This window comes from Homo sapiens, chromosome 11 (assembly GCF_000001405.40).
Source record: "Homo sapiens chromosome 11, GRCh38.p14 Primary Assembly".
NCBI lineage: Eukaryota > Metazoa > Chordata > Mammalia > Primates > Hominidae > Homo > Homo sapiens.
In genome coordinates, this window is record NC_000011.10 from 130,047,560 (window position 1) to 130,057,371 (window position 9,812).

Below are 9,812 nucleotides of genomic sequence, written 5' to 3' on the forward strand. Positions count from 1 at the left end.
ACATACAAGTGCAGTTTTAAAACAATTGAAGCCTGGGTGCAGTGGCTCACACCTGTAATCCCAACACTTTGGGAGGCCGAGACTGGTAAATCTTTTGAGGTCAGGAGTTCGAGACTAGCCTGACCAACAGGGTGAAACCCCCACTCTACTAAAAATACAAAAAAATTAGTCAGGTTTTGTGGCACATGCTTGTAGTCCCAGCTACTCAGGAGGCTGAGACAGGAGAATCGCTTGAACCCAGGAGGCAGAGGTTGCAGTGAGCTGAGATCATGCCACTGCACTCCAGCCTGCACGACAGAGCAAGACTCTGTCAAAACAAAACAAAACAAAACAAAACAAAACAAAACACACACACACACACACACACACAATTGGATAACTGTATTTTGTGATACTTAAGTCACCTGCTGGCAGCTGGGATAGATTGCCAGTGGCCTAGGTGTCAAACAGCAGGTTGATATAAATAAAACCATTCATACCCCTTTTATTATGGAAGCTCCTGGTTTATAAACTTGCTCTTTACAAAAGATCTGCTGTGTAGGGTGTAAATATTTAATTTAATCCACATCCACTTAGGCCTGCCTGGTGTTTGTTTTTCATTTATATTTCACTGTACTACAGAATGTCAAATTCATCTGCCAATTCTCTCCATTCAGTTAAGGGAGAAAAAAAGCAAAATTGTTTGTTGGTCTAGTATAGATATCAAATGTTGAGATGATCAACTACATTTTTCTTTTTTATCTACTTGGTTTAGAATTGTATACATGTCGTCCTTCCACCTTAATAATAGATTAGGGTATTTTTTTTCTCTCCACCCTTTCACTTTTCAGCCACCTCCTTCTTTTACTTTGGGTTCAAGCTCAAGAGTTGGTTAAAGTGAAAGTTGCAGTACTCCACCAGTAAAGAAATTGGGGCTTGGCATCCAGTATCTAGACAAGTCACCTGAAAGTCTAGAACTGCACTGCCCAATACAGTATCCACTAGTTGCATGTAGCTATTTAAGTTAAAATTCATTACAATTAAATAAAATTTAAAATTCACTTCTTTGGCCAAGCACAGTGGCTCATGCCGTAATCCCAGCACTTTGTGAGGCCAAAGTGGGAGGACTGCTTGCGCTCAGGAGTTGGAGACCAGTCTGGGTAACATGTTGAGACCACGCCCCTACAAAAATTAAAAAAGAAAAAAAAAATTTACTTTCTCAGTCACACAAGGCACAAGCAAGTGCTCAATAGTCCCATGTGACTAGTGGCTACTGTTTTGGTGCACAGATATGGAATATGTCTCCACCTTGGAAATCACGATCGGTAGTTCTGGTCTGTAATTACGTGGCAGCAGCTACAGTTATAGCTTTCCAAATTTCCCACCTGCCTCCCAGTTTTGAAAAAACTCTTGGCCGGGCACAGTGGCTCACGCCTGTAATCCCAGCACTTTGGGAGGCTGAGGTGGGCAGATCACCTGAGGTCAGGAGTTTGAGACCAGCCTGGCTAACACGGTGAAACCCTATCTCTACTAAAAATACAAAATTAGCTGGACATGGTGGCACATGCCTGTAATCCCAGCTACTTGGGAGGCTGAGGCAGGAGAATCGCTTGAACCCAGGAGGCGGAGGTTGCAGTGAGCTAGGGTCGCACCATTGCACTCCAGCCTGGGCCATAAGAGTGAAACTGTCACACACAAAAAAAAGAGGAGAGGGGAGGGGACGGGAGGGGAGGGGAGGGGAGGGGAGGGGAGGGGAGGGGAGGGGAGAGGAGAGGAGAGGAGAGGAGAGGAGAGGAGAGGAGGGGAGAGGCAAAACCCTTAGTGGCGCAACTCTGGATGAGGAAACTGGGTAATACATGAGTGTTGAAGACAGAGCTTTTCAGAGGCCTCTCTGCTTTTCCCTGGAGACTGTTCTTTCTGGTCAGCCACCCAAGCTGTCCTGGCCTACACCTCTGAGCTGTTATAAAATCTTTTACTTATTTTTCCATGACCCACCCAAATGAGAATGTTGTAACATCTTCAGATAAAGCCCTCACCATGAGACAGAAGTAGATCCACCCATCTAAGCTTCCTTTTATGTTTATTTGTGAAAGAGTTTAGAGGTTTGAGGCAAATGTCATAGAGAATGCAGTTTCATTCTTAAACTTCTAGTTACTGGATCTATGTGTTTCCTTCTTGGAAAGAAAATTAATGGTCAAGTAATAGATGTAGAGTATAGAGAGCAGGAAATTAGCCAATAGGCATTAAGTGACTACCTAAGGCCAGTGAGTGGTCCAGTTCAGAACGACTCCTACTTTTGTAGAGGACATGCTCTACTGAAAGACACAGCAAGGAGCTATATTGACACTTGCTAATCTTTGAATCAAGGAAAAGCAATTAGCAAATGAAATTTCTGGTGATATGTCTTTTTAAAACCCATGAGACTTCTCTTACAATTCTCCCCATGGTTTCTGTGATCTCACCTAGTGTACCATTATCGAATTTTTCATTAGTTTCATTCTCCCTCTAGATTTTTCCATTTGGCTTTTACTGAGGTGGGCTTTGTGGGTATTCTAGAATGACTCAGTACACCATTTAAACTTTAAATCACCACATTTTATTAGAACATCTATAAAGTATTTATTATTTCAATTAATAAAACTATGTCCTTTGGAATAATTGCCTTGGGTCATAAGTACAAAGTTAAAAACACTGAGCAAGTTATGTAAAACTATAAAAGCCTTTGGCAGATGATAAATGTGTGCTTTAGGCATTAAGCCATTTTAAATAATTATAAAGCAGCTTTCACAAAATAATCTCTTATGGAGAGGGCAGCTGAAGAATGATAGATGTTGGCCAAAACTCTCAAAGAAGCCACACTAGGGGCTTCCCCAGAATTGGAGTGAGGAGAAAGTTATGTAAACAAGAGTTGCCATGAAGAGGCCTCTGCTGTTTCTGTTCCCTCTTCCATTGGTGGAACTGGGAAACTGTAAGGAGACGTGCCCTGCCAGATCTCAGATGACTGCAGCGCTGCAGAGGGAGCAGGCAGTCACTAGGGTAACCAAATCTCAAACCATTGAAGTCTTTGGTAGACATGGTCAATACTTGAAATTCTCCTTAGAAGCAAAGAGGCAGCTTATTCGGGCCCCCTAAGACAACTTTAATCTTATACTTTCAGAGTTTCAGAGGTAAAGGATATAAATCTGTTTCATTTTAATTTAATTTTATGTCTTCTCCTGAATGCCAGGCAAATATTAGCATGGCGTGCTGTCATCATGAGCTTCTCTTAACTCACTAGGGGCTAATCATCATTCCCAGCTCCTCATCTTTGCCTCTTTGTAGTAGCAATAATGAGCTTGCAAGGGGATCTGGGAAGCCTCTTTGATTTAAGTTAGCCATGCAGAGTTACTAGTTACAATAGTATCAGTTGTTGAACATATTATTTAGGGTCAGACTGCCTGTATCATAGTCACATGCTTGTGAAAAAGCATATTCCTGGACTCCACTGATGACCCAGTGAGTCAGGATCTAGGATCTTTGGAAACAGGTGCCAGGAATCTGCATTTTAATAAGCTTTCCTTGTGATTCTTATATACATTAACATTTAAGATGGAATGGATGGAAGAGAAAAAAGAATTTTTTTCTATGCCTTTTGCTATGAAGAAACAAGATGAGTCAGAAATTCAGCTAAACCCCTGGGCCAGAATAGAGAAAAATGAACAATTGAGCAATAAAGTCAGGGCGAAAAGCAGAAGTAGAAGAATTTAAACACTGTAAGTACCTCCAAGGAGTCCAATGACTGGGCAAGTCCAGTGACTGAGAGCCCACATGCCTCCCATTTTTCAAGCTAGTCCCAATTTCACATATCATGTTCTAGTGGTGGAGACCATCAGCAGGTATTCATCTTCTCTTTATTTCCATTTCTCATTTGTAAAATAACAACAGAAGTTTCTGTCCTATATATCACATAATGTTTTTATAAGAATGGATCAGGCCAGGCATGGTGGCTCATATTTTCAATACCAGCACTTTGGGAGGCTGAGATGGGAGGATTGCTTGAGGCCAGGAGTTCAAGACTAGCCTGGGCAACATAGTGAGACCCCACTCCTACAAAAAAAATTTTTTTAATTAGCCAGGTGTGATGGTATGCACCTGTAGTCCTAGCTACTCAGGAGGCTGAGGTGGGAGGATCACTTGAGCCCAGGAGTTCAAGCCTGTAGTAAACTGTGATTGTGTCACTGCACTCCAGCCTGGGTGACAGAGTGAGGCTCTGTCTCTTAAAAAAAAAATAGATCAAATGAGATAATATATGTGAAAGCAGTTTGCAAACTATAAAGTGCTTTTCAACCATCATTAAGTCTAGGGAGTAGTGAATTGTGTTACTCTTTCATTGACTAATTCTTTGTCATTTTGGAAAAATCGGCTACTAATTGGGTCTTCTCTTTAGTGAATTACAGCCATGTCCTTGAATCACGAGTGAACTATATTGAGGCACAATCCATTCATTTATTCTTTGTCTTTGCAATTGAGTTAACAATGTGGTAATTAACACTGATTGTAGAGACACTTAGATAAGATGTGTTACTCAGGGCTCTTCATAAGTTAGACACAATTTAAGTCCTCATCCCTCTGACAATTCTTCTTCATATTCTTTCTTTTCCTTTTTGTTGCTCATTTAAAATTATCTATTTGGGTTCTTAAATAAGTAATACATTTGAAAGAATCAAAAATCAAAAGTATACAAAGCTACACAATAAAAAGCCTCTCTATCCTTCCATCACCTGTTCATCAAGTTCCTGCCTACCCTTTATAGGCAATCACTGTTATTGATTTCATCTGTGTACTTCCAGAGATTTTTTTTTTTTTTTTTAATACACGAGCAGAAATAAATATATATCACTCCTCTTTTTACTTTAACATGATAGTAGCATGTATTACATACATAGTTGAGCACCTTTCTTGTTTCACTTAACAATGAATCTTAGAGATCTTTCCACAACAGAACATAGTTTTCTCAATCTCTTTTACAGCTATAGTAAATTTCATTTTATAGACGTGCCATTATTCATTTAGCCAGTCTCATATTCATGAACTTCTAGATGGAGTCCAATATTTTGCTATTACAAATAATGTAGTGAGTAAACATGAACATTCATTATTTTCCATTTGTGTGAGTAGATCTGTATGATAAATTCCATATGGATTACTTCCTAGCCTCTGAATGTTTTGGTTGAATTTTCGGGACAGTTCCCAAGTTGTGCACATCTTTCTTTAATTAGAGAAACCAAATTTGTACACAATACTCTGCCCAGTGCTAAATACAGAATAATCCGCCCAGTGCTAAATACAGCAGGATTGCTTTTCTATCTTTTTGTTCTTACACATCAGATCTGCCAGAATTGTAAACCCTTTTTAAAAATGGCCTAATGACTGTTGCAAAAAATAAGTTTATTAAAAATAATGATCTAACATTGCTGAATATTAAACATCTGAGCACCATGATTTCCAGTTACTTTACTGCTATTTCATTTTAGACTTTTTTTCTCTTTAATATGTGTGTTCTTTGTTTTGGTTCCCATCTTAATGAATGCAATGCATCTTAGTCCATTTTCTGTAGCTATAGTAGAATACTACAGACTGGGTACTTTATTTTTTAAAAAATAAGCTTATTTGGCTTCTGATTCTGGAGGCTGGGAAGTCCTAGAGCATGGTGCCAGCACTGGGCAAAGGGCTTTCCATGACAGAAGGCAAGAGAGCAAGCAGGCGTGTGAGACACAGAGAAAAAGGGGACTGAACTCGTCCTTTGTCAGGAAGCAACTCCTGAGATACTAACCCACTCCCCAAGAACAGCATTAATCCATTCATAAGGGCTTGGCCAAATCACCTCTTAAAGACCTCACCTTCCAATACTGGTATACTGGTAATGAGTTTTGGAGGGGACATTCAAACCATATCAGAAGGGTTTGATTAAGACCAGGGCTGCCCAATATGCAACAATGAAAGCAATTATGAATAGGGAGTAGAATGGCAAAATATATATATTTTTTCCCCAAGACAGAGTGTAGACCAGGCTAGAGTGCAGTAGTGTGATCGCAGCTTCTGTCTCCTGGGTTCAGGTGATTCTCCTGCCTCAGCCTCCTGAGTAGATGGGATTACAGGTGTGCACCACCACACCCAGCTAATTTTTTCATATTTTTGTTGGAAATGGGGTTTCGCCATGTTGGCCAGGCTGGTCTGTAACTCCTGGCCTCAAATGATCTGCCTGCCTCAGCCTCCCAAAGTGCTGGGATTACAGGTGTGAGCCACCATGTCTGGCCAAAATATTCTTTTAACTGTCAAGTGTGTATGGTGGCAAAACGTTCTGAGTTCAAATATTTCATCTCATTATCAGATCATATGTCTCAATTTTAGCTTTGGAAAATATAGTCACCATACAAATACAGAGTATTTTTGGCCCTGGAGTTTGGTAACTAGCCTGTCAGCATTGAAGGGTCAGCAATTCTCAATTGCTTGAGAATTCCCAGTATAATTTACTGTTGATTAATGCTCAATGATTCAAAGTGACTTAGTAGCAGAAAGAAATTACTACTAACTGTAGGATTTTGAGGTATTTACTGAGCATATACAAGCCAATTACACTGGGTTTGTTTTTGATAAGAGGTGAAGCATAAATAATAAAAAGCCGCAAACAGCTTCCAAAGTTCATTTTAATTACTGAAATTGTATGACCACAATTTTCTCTAGGTCTTAGCTGTCCTTTCTTTTCTTTCTTCACTTCCAAACCCCTTTCGCTGGAATTGCCCAAGCAGGGGTAAAAGGGACTTTAAAAAAATATGTCCTTGGGGCCGGGCGCGGTGGCTCACGCCTGTAATCCCAGCACTTTGGGAGGCCGAGGTGGGTGGATCATGAGGTCAGGAGTTCGAGACCAGCCTGACCAACATGGTGAAACCCCATCTCTACTAAAGATACAAAAATTAGCTGGGCATGATGGTGTGCGCCTGTATTCCCAGCTACTCAGGAGGCTGAGGCAGGAGAATCACTTGAACCCGGGAGGCAGAGGTCGCAGTGAACCGAGATGGCGCCACTGCACTCCAGCCTGGGCAACAGAATGAGACTCCATCTCAATAAATAAGTAAATAAATAAATAAAATATGTCCTTGTATTTCCTCAAGGGAATGGTAAAAAAGGAGGGTGAGCCATTTGAGAAACCAAGGCAGAGATCTTGGATAACACATAAAGTAGATGAATGGTGGAGAGCTGATTTTTTGTTTTGTTTTGTTTTCATCAGACACTGAATTTAAATTAGAATTGACACATAACATAGCGAGTATAGAAAACAACAGAAATCACAACTGAACCCGCCCATCAAAATTTATAAAGAACTAAGCAAATTGTCATATAGATAAAGAATCAGATGGCGACCCATCCTTTACTTGTTCTTGAGGGCAGCAATCCTTGGGTCTGCAAGCCCTGCACATTTTGTCACTGTAAATTCAACCTCATACGTCCTGAAAGCTTCAATCTTAATTTATCTAGGGCAGCAGCCAAGAGCAAGATTAAAAACAACTACTGCAAGAATAACTTCTCCTTGCAAGGATGGGTTATTGCTCCATACATCAGTCTTTATGACTTGAAACTGTTACAATCTTTTTATTTGGTGATGTTAGCTTGATCTTGTGATATTCAAGTATCACTTATCCTCACCTAATATGTCACTTCTTGACACATGTGCTGTATAGTTTATCTTTGCTGTTCTCTGTGCACTTCAGTGTAAATAATTTCTGTTAGCTCTGAAAGGTTGCACATAGAGTGAAATCTCAGTGATTCGAGGAATAGGCATGCATTTTTGAATTGGTGCTTGTATTAAATATTCAATTGTGTCTGCCTCTCATAGTCTGTTTAGGAGCAATATCTTACTCTTTAGTTTCATTCCTAAATACTTTTTAGTATGCATCTCAAAGGGAAAAAAAGAATATTTTATCATATAATTACATCTAACATCATTGTTAGATGATTCTCAAGATGAATGTAAATTCCATAATATTTTACCATGACCATGTAATTTAGTGTGAGACTACCAGCAAGTACAGGTGACAATGACTCTGGTTTTCTGAAAAGATCTGAAGCAAATCTGGCCATTCCAAAATTAGCAGTATCTGAAGGCGTGATGGTGGTGTTAGTCACCACGTAGTGATCAGCGCCTTGCCTCATCTGCAGCTCATCTCAAAAAGGAGTGAAATACCACTTGCTACACTGGATCTGGAAACAACTCAAGTCATCGGCAGCCTCCATCATGTAAATGTAACAAGGGACTTAAAAGCTGATGTTGGGATGAATGTTTCTGGACTGCTGGATGCAGAACTCTTTTTATCTCAAAATAGTACAGACATCATCAAAAGTCCCTGTAGGGCAGGCATCCAGGAGCCGCTTTGAATGCTGCTGACTGTGCTTTTAAGGAGTTGTGCCAGAAATGTGATCATGAACAACTTCTCATAAGAAGTCGGGATAGAGAGAGCCACATGAAAGGGTCTCCAGAATGTGGATACCAAGTCACTCTTTGAAAGTAAAGCTACTGAGAATTTGCATATACTTTTAAAATTTTTTATTTTTATTTTATTTTAATTATTTTGAGACAGGGTCTTGCTCTGTTGCCCAGGCTGGAGTGCAGTGGTGCAATCATAGCTCACTACAGCCTTGACCTCCGGGACTCAAGTGATCCTCCCACCTCAGCCTCCCATGTAGCTGGAACCACAGGCATGCACCATTACACCCAGCTAATTCTTTTTTTAATTTTTTGTAGAGATGTGGCCCAGGCTGGTCTTAAACTCCTGGGCTCAAGCAGTCCTCCAGCCTCGGCTTCCCAAAATGCTGGGATTACAGACGTGAGCCACCATGACTGGCCTACCGTATACTTTTTTCAAGTAATCATCTGCAGAAGTAGTGGTGAAAATGGGGGAAACAGTCATTTCCAACAAATGGACGTAAAATATGTGGTAATGTTTAAGCAGCATGTGTCTAGTCTAGTACGTTAGACAGCCAGTTCTGAAAGGAGGAAGACCTGGGTTCAAATGCTGTTATTTCCACCTAGTTGCTACGTAATGTGAAACAAATTATTTAGTCTCATTAAGCCTCAGAGAGGCCAGGAGTTTGAGACCAGCCTTGCCAACATGGCGAAAACCCATCTCTTTTTTTTTTTTTTTTTTTTGAGACAAAGTCTCACGTTGTCTCCCAGGCTGGAGCATTATTCCATAATGCCCAGCCAGAAGCATTATTCTTAAGAGCCAAAAAGTGGAAACAACTCAAATGTCCATCAGCTGCTGAACAGACAAATTAAGTGTGGTCTAGGCTGGGCACAGTGACTCATGCCAGTAATCCTAGCACTTTGGGAGGCTGAGGTGGGAAGATTGTTTGAGGCCAAGAGTTTGAGACCAGCGTGGGCATAGCTGGGTTTAGTGGCGCATGCCTGTAGTCCCAGCTACTTGGTAGTCGGAGGCAGGAGGGTCGTTTGAGCTCAGGAGATTGCAATGAGCTATGATGGCGCCACTGCACTCCAGCCTAGGTGACAGAGCAAGACCCCATCTTAGAGAAAAAGAGAGAAATGTGGTCTAGCCATATGTTAACAAAAGGAATACTATTAATATTTGTCGATAAAAAGGAATAAAATAGTGATACATTGTACAACGTGGTTAAATCTTGAAAACATTACGCTTAGTGAAATAAGCTAGTCACAAAGACCGCATACTTCTTGATTCTGTTTATATGAAATGTCTGGAAAAGGCAAATCTGTAGATACAGAGAGTAAGATCTGTGGTTGCCTAAGGCTCGGGGAGGGAGCGTTGGAGGGAAATGGGGAA

General features: G+C 40.6%; 1 annotated feature.

Moving 5' to 3' along the window:
- Positions 1,861–2,061: a silencer, noted in NCBI's record as "peak1512 fragment used in MPRA reporter construct". NCBI's record gives its function as "represses an SCP1 promoter by STARR-seq MPRAs in K562 erythroleukemia cells {active_cell/tissue: K562}" and the evidence as "EXISTENCE:reporter gene assay evidence [ECO:0000049][PMID:32103011]".